This window comes from Homo sapiens, chromosome 14, assembly GCF_000001405.40.
Source record: "Homo sapiens chromosome 14, GRCh38.p14 Primary Assembly".
Taxonomy (NCBI): domain Eukaryota; kingdom Metazoa; phylum Chordata; class Mammalia; order Primates; family Hominidae; genus Homo; species Homo sapiens.
This window is the reverse complement of record NC_000014.9, coordinates 97439136-97458115: the sequence shown is the minus strand read 5'-3', so window position 1 is coordinate 97458115 and position 18980 is coordinate 97439136. Positions and strand designations below refer to the sequence as shown.

The window sequence follows — 18980 nt, the reverse complement described above, 5'->3', positions numbered from 1 at the left end:
TGACCTTGGAAGAAGCCGTACTGTGAAACTCCAGACTGATCTATGCACCCACCCAGAGTGTCTCTAAAAGACCTCTCTCCCAATTAAATCCATGCGTGGTACAGAGTCAGACTTCGATTCCGGAGCGAGGTTAGCGTGATTGGTTTGCGTTTTTCCCACTCCCTTCTTCCAATTTGCCCCCCACGCCTTTAAAACAGCTCCTTGGAGAAAACAGAGGGGATGGAGAAGAGCCCCGACAGCATCGAGAGTCTTAAATCTCCTTAATTCATTCTAATGCTGTTTGATGCTTGCAACGGCAGCATTGGAGTTTGCCTCTCTGCTCCATAAAGGTCTGGAATATGGATTTTATGCTAAAACTAAAGCTGTCTAGTTAGGATGCCAGCAGAGTGGAACAATATGCTACAGGCGATCCTCAACTATTCTCCAGGGCCGGAGCCTGACTTCCCGACTGGGTGTTTGTTACCTTAATCATCATTGCAGCGGGATGAACAGGAATTTCTTGCACTGCCACCACAGTGGCACAATTAACGTTATCCGAATTTTCAGAGATTCTACTGCAGAGAGAGGATACTTGCTCCCCTCTGTTAGTGACTGCTCCAGGGTCCCTGTTTATTTTCCCTAGAATGAGGTGGTCAAAGGAACCAGCTGCCCTCTGCCCACTTACTCTGTCTCATGACAGCTCAGCATGGTAAATATTTTCTCTGTAGGGTCTCACATCTCCTGACCATCTCACCTCAGGGCTGGGGAGCACAGCCACACGCCAAGAGCAGAATCCATCACTGGCATTTATGTCTTAATAAAAGCGTGTGCCATTTTCAGATAAAGTAAACACTGCAGCCATTTCCTCTTGCCAGTAGAGGTTTTTCTCTCTTTCCTTCTGAGTCATACCCTTCTAGAAGGTGCAATGTGCCTTCAGAAGAACCCAAGGAGGCTGTGATTCAGAGGTTCCAGAAACAGACACAGCTCTCCAGGCCCTGTGAGTGGCAGTGACAGAATGAGGAGTCCTCCACCCCCTGCAGCCCAGCTATGCCTCAGGCACAGAGCACCCACCAGAAGGAGGATCAGCTCCACCTGGCTCCCAGGCAAACCACGTCCCCAGGCACTGGTGTCACGGCCCAGGTGCTGCCTCTGGCTCTGTCCCACATGGAGGCCTCCCAGTGGGTCACATCCCAGCACAGTCCTCCTGCCTGATATCACCCCCAATCTGTCCTGGGGCTGGAGAGCTCTGAGGAGGGGACCTATGAGTGCAGTGTTTGCCGGCCAGGGCAGAGCCTAAGTGACCCCATGTGAATCCTACTGTGACCCTGCATGGAGACAATCAGAAAAATAACACAGACACGAGCCACAACCACACTGCTGTCAGAACGTCCCAGGCTCTCGTCCCAAGCACTTTGTCTGGCTTAATTTTCAGAACCGCCCTGTAAAGTACATATTATCATTCCCTTTTTCTTGCTGATGAGTCCAGAGTTCAAAAAGATTAAACAAATTCGCCAAGACTGCCCAGCAAGTAACCAGTAGGGCCAAGATCAGATGTCAGACAGGTCAGATGCAGAGCCCCTGCCCTCTCCACCGTGCCACCCTGCCCTTGAGGCAGCTTTCCATTTGAGAAGTAAGTTTAGCACGAGATGCACGACAAAACTGGTAACAGGGCAGACCTGAGGAATGAGGTATGTCTGCATGTGGGGGGGACCATGCCTGTGCAGCCTGCTCTGCAGAGGAGAAAGGTGGAGACAAACCAGAAGGAATGGGGACTTAGCTTGACTTGAGAGAATTAGGCTTTGAGAGGCATCACTTCCAAGAAACGGTTCTATTGCCCTCTTCCTCCTCCATAGCTGTGGTTTTCTAACCATGTATCCCATAGAAGAGAAGTTTGAGGTCCATCATGGTGGAAATGGTGCTGCAAAGCTCCCTACAACTGCAGCATTGATCTTCTCTGATTTATGTTACATGACAGATCTTGATGTCCAGGCCGCAGGAACATCCACCCCAGCGAGATCCCTTTTCTCGACTTCCACCAGCTGTTTGCCAGGAAAGAAGGTCTCAGAGCCACGCTGTATCCTGACTGCCTCTACAGCAGGTACCTTGTACCTCCACAGCAACACAAAAGGATTGTTTCTGTTTCCACACATACCTCATGTCATTTGTTGCCACATAAATTCTCCCTAAGCATAGTGGCTGAATGAAAGCAACTAGTATGTATTGCCCCACAGCTTCATAGGTCAGGAATATTTGGGCACAGCTTAACTGAGTCTTCTGTTTCAGGGTCTCCCGCAGAAGGTAGCCAAGGTGTTATCAAGGGCTGCAGGCATCTAAGGCTTAACTGGGAACAGAATCTGCTTCTGAGCACACTCACGTGGTTGCTGGCAGGAATCAGCTCCACAAGGACTGCTGGACTAAAGGTCTCAGTTCTTCACCAGCTGGGAATCATCCCCATTTGCTTGTCCTATGGCCCTCTCCATAGGGCAGGTCCCAACAGGACAGGAGGATTCATCCTTGTAAGCAAGCAAGGAAACAACAGGAGACAGGTTGCACTCAGGACAGAAGTCATATCTTTTATAAACTAATCTCAGAAATGATATCCCTTCCCTTTTCACATATCCTGTTAACTAGAAGTGGGTCACTAGGTCCAGCCCACGTTCAAGAGAGGTGCTCACACAAGGATGTGAATACCAGGAGGCAGAGATCTTGGAAATCACCTTACAAGTTGTCTACCTCACACCTCAACCCTACCCTTTAGAGTGGACAGTTTTCACAATGCCGTGGCCTCATCTATCACTGGGAGGCCTAGAAAGAACTCTTTCAATTCTCTTGTGCCAGGAACCAATTTTTTTTTCTCACCTTATGGGTGGTTTCTAAAGACACCAAAATACCTGCTCCTCTTTCTCTACAAAGTCTCTGCCATTACAATGACCAAGAAAATGTGCTGTAGCGTCATAGCCCTTTACTAAGCCCCTGCTACAGATCAGACACTGAACTAGACCTTGAAATATTTTCTCTCAATCCCTAAAGCAGGCCTAAGTGGCAGCATTTATTGAATGAATGAGGACTCGGAGGCTCAGTGAGGGTAAGGAACGTGCCCAGTGCCATTCATCCACATATGTAGTGGAGTCTGAATTCAACCACAGGCTATGTTTTGTCCATTCAGCCACAGACTCCCAAAAATATTCCTGAAGCTTCATTTCAGAGGAATTACACATTCATTCTAGGTCTCATTACATTCAAAGAAATTCTCACACATGCTACTTATATGGCAACCTAAGGTTTAGCGTAACCACATGCTCTGGATTTTTTAAGTGAATTATGCCATTTTATTCATTCAATAAAACAATTCTAGAAACACACAGATAAATATGAATTGCTTACGTTTATTTGAACCATATGGCATTACCATTGCTAGTGGTAAAAATATCAAATACCACTAACTCTATAGGGTTTAGTCTAATGTATTTTTGCTCATATTAATGCTTACAGATGGACAAATGAGTCTTTCATATTATAAATAATCTTTGTCTACACAACAAACTTCTATAGACTTAAAAAAAAAAAGAAACAAAAGTTTCCTCTCTCTGTAGATACCAGCATATGGCAAAAGGATCAATACTGACAATATTTAATGAGCATCTCTGCTTGGACCTTTACTATTATATTGTATTAAATATTTACAACAGCACGAGTGTAGACACTGTGATCCCAACTTTTATACTGAAGATGAATCAAGTTTAAAGAGGTGGATGATTTCCTCAAAGTCATGCAGTGAACTGACAGAATCAGCCTCATAACCTGCTAAATGTGCTTGATTCCAAAGCACATGTTCTTTCCATTCAATTTTTGTCTTACCAAGAATCACATACTGGGAATTTGCTGGAGGCCATGGAGTTCTGCCTGAGTTAGCTTGCCCCTCTGTGCTGTTGAAACACACATAAACACCGAAATACCAAAGCAATTATGGCCACTGGAAACAAAGCCATCTCAAAGATAAAGTGCCCGCTCTCTATTTTAGAGGTGACCAAGAAAAGATTGTCAGTGACTCATGGGTGAATTCTGAAGAAAAACAACTTGACTAGCAGAAGAAGACAGGAGAAAATTTCCAGCTATGCAATCTGCAGATCCCTTTAGCACCTTGGTGGCTGAACCACTGATTATAAGTCCTGGTGATAATGTCTACCCTTTTGAGTACCTTTATTTATTTATTTATTTATTTATTTTGGAGACAGGTTCTCACTCTGTCACCCAGGCTTGAGTTGAGTGGCACCATCTTGGCTCACTGCAACCTCCACCTATCAGGCTCAAGTGATCCTCCCACCTTCCCACCTCAGCCTCCCAAGTAGCTGGGACTACAGGCAGGTGCCACTATGCACAGATAATTTTTGTATTTTTTGTAGAGGTAGGGTTTTGCCACATTGCCCGGGATGGTCTCAAACTCCTGTGCTCAAGGGATCCGCCCCCCTCAGTCTCCTAAAGTGCTGGGATTACAGGCATGAGCCACTGCACCGGGCCTTGGGTACTTTTGTAACCTGCAGAACTACCCCCAGTTTCACGTCTGCTCGTTGATACCTTCCTCTTCTGCAGCCATTTAGAAGGCTAAAACTCCTCATTGCCAAATAATGAAGAGGAGTAAGAATCAAAGCTAAGAGGACTCTGCATACTAAGACATAAGGAAAGCACAAACTCAAGAAAACTCCAAGACAAGCACTGGGAGCAATGAATTTGACAGCATGTAATTCAAATAAGAAGAGTCATAGATTTCTCAAATAATCCCAGGGCAAAATTTTATCCAGGAAAACTGAATTGAGGCCAGAGTCTGACAGGATCATTTACCTGCATTATACCTGAAATTTGTCAACACACTTTACATTTCAATGTGGCCTCTGGATTAAAATCCAAGAAGATTATTTTGAAAATAGTAAAAATAATAGTGAGGAGAAACTCAATCCTTATTTAAATAATAATAAACATAAATAAAAGCAAACCATGCCCAAAGCAAGTATAAAAATGGGAACCAGCATTGTAAACACATAGATGAAGAGCATACCAGAGAAAGGGATTTGTTGTCAAAAACGGAAAACATTTTATGAGGTATTTGCTTTGTGTTCTTTCTAAAATATAATAAAATACATAAAAAAAGAGGCATAATAAGAAATAAACTATTTTTAACGTAGCAGGTTCAAATGAAGCCTGAAATTTAGGAAGGGATCTGAAAGAAATTATGAAAGAATCAATAATAGCTCATACTTACCGGGAGCTAACACAGTCTCAGACATTGTTCTATGCAGTTTACATCTATTAGCTCAGTCAAATCTTCAAACACGTCTCCACATTGGCTTTTTGATAAGGAGACTGGGACACACAGAGCAGTTAAATATCTTGGCCAACTCAAAAAAACTACTAAATGGAACAGGTGAGATTTAAGCTCAAGCAGCCTAAGCCTGCACACTCAATCTTCACATGGTACTGGTCTAGAGAACCAAAGAACAGAATCTATACAGCAGAAAATTAAATCAGTAAATAGAAAGCAAACAAGAAGGCTTCCAGGTATTTAGAGCAAAATCAGAAAACTACAGTCTATAAGCTTAATCTGTCCCACCACTGGTTTTTGTAAATAAAGTTTTATTGGAACACAGCTATACTCATTTGTTTATGTGTTGCTTTTGTATTTCAAAGGCTGAGCTGAGTAATTGCACCAGAGACTTATGCCCCAGAAAGCTGAAAATATTTTTTATTTAACCTTTCACAGAAAATGTTTCCTGATGCTTAATTTAGAGAAAGAAGACACAGAGATACAACTTATGTGAGAGAAGATGAAGATATGGAAGACACAGTAAAGAGGCAGTGTGTGAAGAGAGCTGACATTTCAGAGGACATGACCAGGGCCAACAGAGTAACTGGTTAATCAAATATATCGAGAAGAATTCAGAGCTGAAAATATCTGAGTTCGTTCCTCAGAAGGGCTCAAATTATTCCAAACAACCATTTTCTAAAGAAACTCCTGTCTGAAAAGAATTTTGAATCTCTGGGGAAAAACTATTTTTAAAAATTGTGAGAATGGCAGTAGGATGAACAGATTATTTACAAAAGAAAAAAATGTGGGTAATCTCAGACTTCAAAATTGTTCATATCAAGAGTAAAGTGAAATACAGTCTAACGAGTTTTGAGAAGAAAATTACTCAATAATTTTACACCAAAGGGATGATTTGTAAAGGAAAAAGAAAGACACTCAGCTATGCAAAAATAAAAAAAAGTATACTACCACTATACTCATGTTAAAAAATGGGATTGCAGATATACTTGAAATGACTCAGTAATTAATCAAAATAAACAATTCAAGAAGAGAGAAAGCATGGTTCAGGACAAATAGTAATAAGTGTAGATCACAACTACTAAATACTAAACATAAGAATTAAGTCCAAATCGGTTCAGTAAGTACAGTAAGAAAAACTACAATTGAAAAATTAAAATATCACATTAAAAAAATATATAGCTTACAAACAAACCATCTCAAGAAGAGCAAAATAAATCTAATGACAAGGGAAACTAAAAAATAAATGCAGTTAAATCATATATAAATTAATTATAGACTGAGAAAATAGTGTTAATAAATAAATGTAAGAGCTGGTATTTAGAAATGTACAACACAACAAATAAACCACTATTAAATCCAAATTAATAATGTCACAAATAAATATGCATATTGGATGTGGGAAATTAGATACAATATAAGTTTATAAATTAGAAATACAGATGTGCAGTCCTACATAAAGACATATGTAAAGAAAATCTAATGAGATAGATAGTTTTCTATTTACTGTTTAATTTTTTGTTGCATAGATTCTGTTCTTTGGTTCCAGAATTGGAAAATTCCGGAAAGTTGAAATAATAAAAATTTGTCCAAGAAGAATTAGAAAACTTTTGTAAACCTATAGCCATGGGGAAAATATGGAAAAAAATCTTTAACATAATTATATCCCCAAAAGACTCCTAGGCCAAGTAATTTTGCTAGTTCTATATAACTTCGAATAATAGACAATTATTATTACTTATGATTTAATCCAGAGCACACATAATAATGTAAAAATCTTTCATTCATATTATAAAGACACTTTACACCCATATCAAAAGCTAGCAATGGATGGGACAAAAAAGAAAACCAGGTATCTAAATTACTCATGAGAACACAGGCATTATCCTAAATCAAATACTAGCTAACTGAATTCACATACACATTAAGAGAATCCCAGGTATTTTATTAAGAATATAAGGAAGGCGTAATATTAGCAATCGATTAATTCATCACATCACATTAAGATGTCAACGTTGAAATAAACTATATAAATGATTCCATCTTCGTAGAAGCCAAAATAAATTTTATAAATTCAACATCCATTTCTTAAAATATATATATTTTGAAGCGTTTAAACAAAAGTCTGTATAATATGCAATGCTTGTATTCCAGATACATTCCCATTCAAGTTAGGACAAGGACAAGGGCTCCAGCCCCAACCATTCATCCTTGGCATTGTTTTGTACATTCCAGATATTTTATAAGACAGGAAAAAATAAATTCAAGTTATACAAAGAAGAAGAGTACTCATTAATCATCCATTACCAGTGATATTATGAATCAGTAGACAATATATCTAGAATATCTTACATAGTTAACTAAAAGAAAATATGTATAGCTTTAAGCCAGTTCAATAAATTAACCAGACAGAATATCAATAGCCTAGTCAAAACTGGGTTACATGAGCCATCTTGGCACACATCACTTTCAGAAGAAGCACAAATACAGCATCCAAAAAGAACCAAAAAATGTTAACATCTTTACTATTATGCCCCCAAGAAATGTCGGTTTTATATTATATTACACAAAGGAAAACTTCTACCTAAGGTAGGTGATATTTAAATTAAAGTTAAAATAAATAAATAGTAGGACTTGTGGAAAACGTGGATGAATACTGAAATAAATTCTGGGCCAGTAAAAAGACTCCCTAAATGTAAAACACGTGGTATAACCTGCTATGATCTGAATGTTTATGCCCTTGCAAAATTCACATGTTGATATCCTCACTCTCAAAGTGATGGTATTAGGAAGTTGGGCCCTTAGAAAGTGACTGGGCCCTGAAGACTCCACCGTCATGAATGAGATTCGTGTCCTTTTAAAAGAGATACTAGAGAGATCTCTCACCTTTCTACCATGTAAGGTTACAGTGAGGTGGCCTTCTGTGAACCAGGAAGAGAGCTCTTCAAGACACCAAATCTGTCTGAGTCTTGATCTTGGACTTCTCAGCCTCCAAAATTGTAAGAAATGAATTAATTTTGTTTGTAAGTTTATGACGTTTCGTTGTAGCAGCCCAAACGGACTAAGAAAAAACCCTTCACAAAATTGGTCAGTACACCTGGCCAGATAAAAGTTTAAAACTTTCTCTGTTGAATGCCATCATCAACAAAATTTAAAATGCAATGCAAAAAAACAAAAGAATGTTTGCTACAAATATCAGGAGGAACATTAATAGCCTTTAGACACAAAAATATCCAACAAATTAAACCCACACATGAATATCTCAAAAAAAATGGGCAGAATGCATAAATATACAACTTGAAGTAAAAAGCATATAAAGGCCAGTTGCAGTGACTTTCACCTGTAATCCCAGCATTTTGGGAGGCTGAGGTGGGCGGATTACCTGAGGTCAGGAGTTCAAAACTAGCCTGGCCAACTTGGTGAAACCGCATCTCTACTAAAAATACAAAAATTAGACAGGCATGGTGGCATATGCCTGTAATCCCAGCTACTTGGGAGGGTGAGGCAGGAGAATCACTTGAACCCAGTAGACAGAGGTTGCAGTGAGCCAAGATTGCACCACTGCAGTCCAGCCTGGGCGACAGAGTGAGAATCCATTGCAAAAAAAAAAAAAAAAAGCCTATATAAAAGGCTAAATAAATCAAATCCATTCATTGATTCATTAGCATTTGAAAAAATATTTTACAAAATTATGGAGATGGTAGTAGGGTGAACAGATTATTTATAAAAGAAAAAAATGTGAGTAATCTTAGACTTCGAAATGTTTTACATCAAAGTGAGATCCCTCACCCTTCTACTGTGTAAGGTCACAGTGATACAAACCAGAAAGTTAAAACAATAAGGAGTTGGTATTTTGTTCTTGGTTACTTTGGAGAGGGATGGTGAGACGGGAGCCTTTGTTCACCAGTGTTGGGAGGTTTACTGGACTCTACTCCATGAGGAAGGGGATCCTCCCTTTGAGCTTGCATGCTGGCATCTTGCAGTGATCAGTAGAAATATTCACTGATGCAAGAAGCACAAGTAACCCTCCAGAGGTAGTATGTTCAAGAAGCTTAAAATATTTATCCAATTTTTCTCAGTAATTTTATTCCTATGAAGGTAGCTACAAAAAAAATCAAATGTTTAGATAAAAATATAGTTACATGGCCAGGCGCGGTGGCTCACACCTGTAATCCTAGCACTATGGGAGGCCGAGGTGGGTGAATCGCTTGAGGTAAGGAGTTCGAAAACAGCCTGCCCAACATGGTGAAACCCCATCTCTACTAAAAATACAAAAAAATTAGCTGTGCTTGGTGACAGGTGCCTATAATCCCAGCTACTTGGGAGGCTGAGGCAAGAGAATCACTTGAACCCTAGAAGTGGAGGTTGCAGTGAGCCAAGATTGCACCACTGCAGTCCAGCCTGGGCAACAGAGCAAGACTCTGTCTCAAAAACAGAAGAAAAAGTTACAGGAATGTTTACTGCAGCAATATGTATAATTTAAATAAATGAAAATAGTGAAAATGTCTAATAATTAGAGTAAGTTTATTTCCATATTAATTACAGCTTAGGTGGTTTTTAGAAAATGATTGTTCCCCCAGATATTTAATGGTATATAATATGCTGATTACTGAAAAAATAATGATGCATATATATATATATGTGTGTGTGTGTGTGTGTATGTGCACATACACACATACAACCAACTTTCATGAAAGAAATATGTGGGAATATACACATTATATATATATATATATATATATATATATATATGAACAAATAAATAGTGTGCTCCCTTTCTATCCCAGTCCAACCAAGCCTTCCAAGGGGCAGTTTGACTTTCATGGCTCAATTTCTTTATTCCTCGACCTCATTGTAAAGATTGGGGCAAAAGTAAGTCAAGGTGGGCTTGTTTGATTTCCGTGTGAGGTAGCCAGGCAGTTTTAGCAAATAAAAATACAGGATACCCAGTCCAACTTGAATTTCAGATAAACAATGAATATGTTTTAGTATATCTCAAGTGTTCAATGGGATAAACTTATACAAAAAGTTTTTCATGATGTGTCTGAGATTCAAATTTAACTGATCATCCTAGATTTGATCTGGCCACCCTAACAGAGAGTGACTGAAGAGAATAGGATGAAAATGAGCACAGTTCAAAGGACCTGGGTTTCTAATCCAGTTTGGGGAGGTGGGAAGGAGAAAGGGCAGGGGTGGGAGAGAGAGGGAGACAGGAGAGGCCTGGTGTCGGGAGTGGGGAGAGGAGCCTTGGGGAGACAGAAGCCAAGCATTTAGAAAGATTTTCCATTTCCTCTTTGGATTGCAGACTGGTGCTTCTTCTGAAAGCCACATCATGCTTACCCAGGCCAGAAAAAGGGCCCACTCAATGTAACTGACCTAGAAAGGCAAAGTAAAAGGATTGGCAGGATCAACATGGAAATGCCAAGGATGTAGCTAGTTGTGATTTTTGTGTTCTTCTCTACATTTGTCTGCATTTCCCGGATTTTCTACAATGATGGGCACAATTTGTTTTGTAAACAAGACATACATGGAACTTGTTTTTAAAACCTAACCTCACACAGACCAGATGTCTGTCTTCTTTGACTAAGTCACCCTAACTAAGGGAAAGGGTCACTCTGGGCATCCTGGCTCAAGATGCTAACACCAAACTGCCCCTGTTGGCCTCACAGGCATCTCCTACGAGACTGGCCTTTCTGTCAGATCAGGATCTGAAACACCAGGCTTGTGCATGTGAATAAATGAGTCTATCTGCTCCACCTGAATGGGTCACCACGGATCAAAATCACTCCTGACCCTGAAGAGCATCTGGAGCTATTCTTTCCAAACTGGCTAGACTTCATTTCACACCCTTGCTGAGAAGGAGAAGCCCAAAAAGCCTTCCTTGGTCAAGCCTGGGTTCACTCCTTCTGCACTTGTTCCCTGATCCAACCTGTTGCTGCCTCTGACACACCTGGTCACTCCTTGGCTCGTTCCAACTTGTTCTTTTACCCCTTAAGTTGAAGGAAAAACTCTGTGAAGTATACACAGTGCACCAGGCCCTGTATCAGGAATTTCACCCGCATCAGCTGGTTGAATCTTCTTAACAACATGTAAGGCAGGTATGAAAACCATCATTTTATAGTTGAGGCTGAGTAACAGACCCAAAGTCAGACAGCTAATTAGGTACTGGAGCTCAGATTCAAATACCGCCTTCTTTGGTATGAATACTAATACTGTTTCTACTGACTTGTTATGATAAGTACCAGCAAGTCGTTTTTGAATGAAAGAATAAAATCGGTATGTCCAGACAAGAGGCAGACATTAGCTTGGCCACAATCTTTATGTGACCTGAAGATACATTTGGTGTATCATGCATGGTGTCTTTAAAAGGTTTTAAATAGATTTCTTCCCTTAAACATTTGGAGATCTGGCATCCTAAGCCAGATGTGGGGCTTCTTTTGAAGGAATCAAATCTGGCAACCATGGGTAAGAACCTTCTAGCCTTTGAGGTTGCATCGCTTCCCCTCGTGGCCTGTCTGCAATGTTCACGTGCAATACCTGCCTCGACACTAGGGGTATTTGCAACTGCTTTCTCACTCCTACTCAAATGGTTTTGTTTTTATTTCTATTTCACTTCATTTCAATTCATTCTATCCCCATGAAATATAGTCAAACCAGGGTCTTCTATAGCCCAGTTTTCTCCTGCTTCTGATTGGCTTTCTCATTCATCTGTGAAATTTTCCTGGCTGCCTCATGTAAAGAAGTCATAGCCCCTGGTACGCACCTCTAGGACAGCCTTATAATAACACTGATCCGTTATTGAGGGCCTACAGTGTGATGGTCACTCATTCACAGTTAATCCTCAGCAGGCTCCAGGTGCTTATGGGTAAAGACAGGAGTCACTAGGCAGGCCAGCAGCATGCCTGGCCTGGGCCTTTCCCACTGGGCATCCTGCCACCACCCACACTGTCATGCCACACAAATGTCTGAGTACATGGGCTGGTCTGAGCCCCCAGGAGACCAAGACCTGCTTGAGCACCAGGAAGCCCGATCCGTCTGGGGGTCCCAGTGCCTGGTACTGAGTTTGGTGCATGGTTGGTGCTCCATAAATGCTTATGGATAGAAAGAAAGAAAAAAAGAAAAAGAAAGGAGGGTGGGAGGGAAGGAGACTGAGTGGAGGGAACATTTGCATTGACTGCCCCTGAGTATTCAAAGCAGCACCTGAAGCACACATCCTTGCAGTGGCAGTAAACAAAGGTAGAGAACAGCCCCTGGATGGTGCACGGTGCTTACGTCCCGTTTCCTCCTGCACTGAGTTGACCAGCTGTATGGAGATGACAACGTGGTCACCAGACCCACTTAGACCTGGACCATATTCCCAGAAAAACAGATGCAGTCGGCCACCATGGCATAGCAGCTATTCCGTAACAGATTAGATGCTGGAGTCCTGGAAAGTCGTTCAAGGAAAAGCTATCTCTTTCTTTCCTCTGGAAACATATCATTAGCCTTTAATTTAAGTCAAGGTGGAAGTAGAAGAGGGCAGTCATTGTAGGAAATCTGAGCAGCGATGCTTTAATCCCATTTAGGGACACTTTGAGCAATGACTTATAGATAATGAGAGATTTTAAATTCTTTGGTCAGTCTCTAGCTAAAGGCTTTTTATGGGGGGAAGAATGAGTAATTCAATGCAGATGATCTAGCCTCTTATAAGCTTTTATTAGTGATTTGTTGGACATGGATAACATAAATTTTGCGACCAATCTATTAACAACCTGAATTGGAAGTTGGTTTTCCTGCCCTCCACAGAGCATTTCAGGAACAAGTGTAATAACTGGAGGATCAATAATTCCTATTTAGTATAGTATGCGAGTTAAGTGAACAGGACCGAAGTATTTCTATTTATTGAATATCGTGTCAACAAATTTCCATTTCAAGGATAATAAAACAAGTTACAGCCAATGTCAAGGTTGTTTATCCATACAAAGCATAAACAATATATTTTACTTTAAACAAAAAAGTGCTAATGTTCTTTAAAATAATCCATATTTTGATCCACTCTGCCAAGTAAAAATAATTTTGCATTGAATCTGTCAGCTGTCAAGACACATTATGTCCCATAAAAAGGACAGCAGCTTTGGGAAGAAAAGCACCATAGTAGTAGACCTCCTCGTTTATTGAATGAAGCATGAGATTAGTTTACTCAAGGTATTCATGTAAACATGGACACTTAAAAAATAAATAGAAAAGAAAGAAAGAGCTAAATTTACCAGATGAGGAAGAAACTTAGCTGCAGAGATATTTCTAACTTATAGTCCTCACACACAGTGTGAGAAGTCTGAAAAATGAAATTTTAGTCATTAGAACCTGACAGCTTCCAGTCATAATATGCTGACATGTGTAACGGGAATTAAGAGATTCTACCAGCGGAATGAACGTTCATAATTTTTTTTTGAAGCAAATCATTTATTTCAGCTCCGTGAATCACAGTGCAGCAGCAGATCACCGGACATTTATAAATGGCATAATACAACTTTCTCAGGCTTTGTGTCCTTTCTTAAGTAGATTCCACTTAGAGACACTAATTACTGGTTGAATGGAAGCACTCTCTGTGAGGCAAAGCAAAGGAGGTCTATTCAGAATGAAAATAAGCTTCCAGGGGCTTCCAGAGGGGCTGGGACCACTGAAATTCTGCTCTTTGGTATCTTGCTAAGGTGATTTTGAGTTTTAATTGGTTCACCTTTTCAGGGAAGGACCACAGCCTCCCCCAATTCACTCATCACTAACAGACACTTATAAGTGTTCTGTGCATCACACATTGTCCCAGCTACAGGAGCACCGAGAGGATTACGAGGAGGACTTCTGTCTCATTTAACTCCTTCTGGGGATGAGGAGAAGAAACATTTACACCAGTAAACACTTGGAGCTGACACAACAGGTCAGAGATTGTCTAACACTGGTGAGCAGGAGCCTCACCTGGAATGCCAAGGTCTCGGTATAAGAAAAGGCCCTGGGGTCAGACTGGCTGGGTTCAAGTCCCAGCAACTCCATTAATAAGCTACGTGGCCCTGGCCGAAGAACTTGACCTCTCTATGTCTTACTTTCTTCCTTGGTCAAATGGAATTGATCACTGGGCTTCTTTCTTAGGGCCCTGGTGAGAATGTAATGAGTTGACTGACATACAGGAAATGTTTCTGGCACATGGTGAGTTGTTGGGTCATAGTATTTATTTGCTGGGACAATGGTGGGAGATGACGAGAAACCACCACAGAAGCTGCTAGGGAGGGACCAGGTGGTCCATAGATTATGAAGTCAAAGAGGGTTATTCTTGAGCCTTAAGATCTAATGGAATTTGCTTGGGACCTGTGGCTCCTGTCTTCTTTCTGATTTCTCCCATAGGATATCTATGCTATGCCTGCCCCACCATTGTATTTTGAAAGCAGAGAACTTGTCTGGTTCTATAAGTTTACAGCTGAAGAGGAATTTTGCCTCTGAATAAATCATACCTTGAGTTTCACCCACATCTGATTTAGATGCTATTTAGGTGAGCTTTTGGACTTAGAGTTGATGCTGGAATCAGTTAACACTTTTGAACACGTTGAAATGGAGTCAGTGTATTTTGCACGCAGAAAGGACATGAGTTTTGAAGGGCCAGGGGACACATTATTATGAGCAAATTGTGTCCCTCCACAAAAAAAAAAAAAAAAAAAAAAAAAAAATTCAAATAGAACAAGTCCTCCCAGTACCTCAGAATGTGGCTGTATTTAGAGATCGAATTTGTAAAAGGGTAATTAAGTTAAAAATGAGTCCACCAATCCAATATGACTGGTGTCCTTATAAGAAGAGATCAGGACACAGATACAGAAAGAGGGATAACTGTGGGAAGACACAAGGAGAAGGCGGCCATCTACAAGCTACAGAGAGAGGCCTCAGAAGAGACCAAACCTGTGGATGCCTGGACCTTGGACTTCCAGCCTCCACGACTGTGTGGAAATACATTTCTGTTGTTTAAGCCACCCAGAAAAGTGGAACTTGTTAATGGCAGCCTTAGCAAGTTCATGCAGATTTTTGAAAAGATTCCTCAGATACTTCTGCTGGGCCCCACAGAAGAATCTTGGTTGTTGAGAATCTTGGTTTCATATCATGTCATGCAAAGATCCTGGGAGGGCAGAGAGAAGTAGTTCCGGCCTGTCTCACGCAAACCTCTGAGAGCTGTTGCTTATCCACAGAGTGACCTCAGGTGGCTCAAGTTGCCCCTTTGGGTCTCAGCTTCTTCCCCTGAAAAGGAAGGTGTCAAACAATACCACCCACCACTACAGAGTTTTCCAGCATTGGCTTTCTGTAAAATAAATCAAATGAAGTCCTCCATCTTGGCCTTTCCCCCAGCAGTGGGGTTGCATAGAAAAGAAGACAACAGGTTAGCAAGAAAGATGTGGTTTCTGTGGGCCAAAGATCCCCAGCCTAGATGCTGAGACAGTGGGAGGAGGAGAAGATAAAGATTAAACTAGAAATCACAAACTTAGATCCAGAAATTGCCATGGGGCCCAAGACAGTATTTCACACATCTGAAAATTTTCATCCACCTGTCTATTTGCAGCGTTTTAAAAAAGTGTTTGTTCTGCTGGGCCCTTCTCTGCAGTCACCGGTGATGGGGAGAACACACTGATGTGTCTTCCGGCCCTGACTTGATGAGAAGGCAAAGACAGAACCAGGGGCACACTGCCCTGCATGAAGTAGTGGTGCTTGTGGGGTAGATCAAGTTTTGGGGGGATCTTTGAGCTGGCACTTGACGCCCCAGGGGGAGTTTGGAAACCTGCAGGCAGCAGGAAGGAAGAACCAGGGGGCTGGAGGCCACTTTGGGGTGGAGTTTACTCACTTAGGAGAGGGGAGCAAACTCAGGTATTGCGAATGCGGGTTTTTGGTCACTTAATTTGCATTCTTGCATTCAGTCTCCACCGCAAAGCCCTGAGAGGCGGGTTAAGTCATTTATAGGGTGATTAATTTTCTTGCGAGGGATGTAGGCCTATTCCCAAAGGCCTCACATAATTCAAAACTAGCACAATTCAAGATTAATTCTCTGGAGCAGGAAATGTAAAGTAGGGTTTGCATTAGTTCAAAATCTGTGCGTAAACTAAGATGATTGATACATTATAAATCAAAATTTCAGATTTGCGCTATTCAGATTTGCAAAACACACAACCACACCCTGTACATCTTTTGGGGCCAAGAGAACTGATTAGCAGGTATGAAGATGAACTCTCTATCCTTAAGCACACCTGGGGTCAGTGTGCCCAAACCCAGATCACCTCCCCTGGGAGCTTCTCATGTTCATCTCCCCTCCTGCAAGTGAGGATGCTCTGAAGATCGTTTACCTGTAGTGAGACAGGGCAATTTAGTGGCCAAAGTTTCAGCTCGGACTTCAGACAGACATGGGTTCAAGTCCTAGTTTAGCTGTAATCTTGGGTACATACTTCGCTTTTTTACCTCTTCATCTCATTTCCTGTAAAATAGCAATTATATTCATCACACCCGCTTCAGAGGGGAGCCCGCAGTGTTAAATCAGAAAACAAATCTCAAGCACATACTTTTGTGCCTGGCACATGTATATACTCAATAAATACTAGTGTTGTCTGGCACGGTGGCTCCTGCCTGTAATCCCAGCATTTCAAGAGGCCAAGGAGGGCAGATAGTTTGAGCCGAGGAGGTTGAGGCCAGCCAGCCTGGGCAACATGGCTAAACTCTGTCTCTACAAAAAATACCAAAAATAATTATCCAGGCATGATGGTGGGTCCCTGTAGTCCCAGCTAGCTACTTGGGAGGTTGAGGCTGCTGTGAGCCATGATTGCACCACTGCACTCCAGCCTGGGCAACTGAGTGAGACCGTGTCTCAAAATATAAATAAATAAATAAATAAATAAATAAATAAATAAATAAATAAATTAATAACAAACTATTAGCTGGTATCATTGTTAGTTTAGATATTCCGTGTCTCTCCTCCTTCCCTGATACAATACAGGAGAGCTACCCCTATTAGCATTCCCACTTTATAGGCCAGAAACTCGGGTGTCAGGAGAGACGAAGAGGTTTGCTCAATTTTTATAACTAGAAAGATAATAAGGAGATCAGAATCCAAGCCCACCCAGCTGCAATCTCCATGCACGCCTTCCACTCCAACTCGCTCCTGTTGGAGGGGACCACAGCGCACCAGACTATGATGACTGCAAGGCCACGGAGCAGGACTGGGCCTCTCCAGCCACTGTACTTTCTCATGGCCCTGCTACCTGTGTGACCGGTTAGCACAGATGTGCTTCGTGGACGCTGCTGGCATTTCAATAATGCTGGGATATTATGTGCTGTAAAAACAGGACATCATTGCTTACCAGGGGCTTATAAAAATAATTGCAATCCAGGCTGGCCTCTGTCACTAGTAATTTATCGCATTGCTCCTCTTTTTGTTAATGCAGTTTACACGAGTCAAACGAATTATATGTAAATTGGGGAGCATGTTAGACTTCAAGTCGAGAAGTGATATACATAGGTGTGAATAAGATATTTTCGAATTTTTCAAATCCCAAATGGAGGTGGGTGATATGTTAGTAATCGGAGAGGGTGGTGCTCAGGAATGGGAAGCGGGAGGCCCTCCCTCCAGTCTGAGAAACCAAGGGTGACTCTCCATGCTTCCGGCCCACATGACTGCTGCTGCTGCTGCTGCTGCTACTGCTCCTGCTGGAGGGGCACGTCCCAAAGGTGGCCCGGATTCCAGCTGCCCCTCACTGTCGCCAGACTGATACCAGATCTTTAGCCTGACAGTCAGGGTCCCTCCTCCTGGAGCTCCCGTCTTGCTCCTTGGCATCCTCCAATCAACCTGCTATGCTGCTGTCCTGTGCTGGGCACAACACAGCCTAGATGCCTTTGCTCCTGCCAGCCCCAAGGCCTAAAGCGCCCCTGCTTCCTCTTCAACATGCCTGCATCCTGGGAGTCCTCCTATACCCATTCCCCTCACCTGGGCTGAAACCCACTGTGATCTGTGAGAGCTCCCTTGGCAATGCCATGCTTTCTACCCAAGGGTCTGGAAGTTTCTTGAGTGCTCAGGCTGTGTGTTCACTCCTTCCATCATGGGTTCATTCACTCTTTGATTTGATAAATGATCCTTGAACATCTTCCATGTGCTATACTTTGTATAATCTTCTGAGACCCTGGTTCAAGTTCCCACCCTCACCCTCACCTCACTGTGCAAAGTAAAATGCCTATGGTTAAAAGGAAGGAATGAACAGGAAGAATTACTGTTCATTAAACCCACTTTTAAGCTTCTTATGCTATGCTGGGCCTTCTCTTTGGCCTCACACTCAATTCACCTGATAGTCTTTTGAAACATTACTTCTGCATTTTGTTGCTCAGGAAATTGAAATTGAAGATCAAAGAAAATAAGTAACTGAGATGATGCCACAGAGCAGGGACTCAACTTCAGCCACCCTCGCAACTGTACCATGGTGTTTATTTAATAAAAATCTCAGCTGTGTGCGGTGACTCACATCTGTAATACCAGCACCTTGGGAGGCCAAGCACCTTGGATCACCTGAGGTCAGGAGTTCGAGACCAGCCTGGCTAATATGGTGAAACCCCGTCTCTACTAAAAATACAAAAATTAGCCAGGTGTGGTGGCGTGTGCCTATAGTCCAAGCTACTCAGGAGGCTGAGACAGGAGAAT

At 41.8% G+C, this 18980-nt stretch overlaps 2 annotated features.

Moving 5' to 3' along the window:
- Window positions 15303-15632: an enhancer, noted in NCBI's record as "active region_9000". NCBI's record gives its function as "activates an Ori minimal core promoter by ATAC-STARR-seq in GM12878 lymphoblastoid cells {active_cell/tissue: GM12878}" and the evidence as "EXISTENCE:reporter gene assay evidence [ECO:0000049][PMID:35858748]".
- Window positions 17542-18042: an enhancer, noted in NCBI's record as "H3K4me1 hESC enhancer chr14:97906411-97906911 (GRCh37/hg19 assembly coordinates)". NCBI's record gives its function as "activates a minimal SCP1, AML or CMV promoter by ChIP-STARR-seq in primed H9 embryonic stem cells {active_cell/tissue: H9 hESC(primed)}" and the evidence as "EXISTENCE:reporter gene assay evidence [ECO:0000049][PMID:30033119]".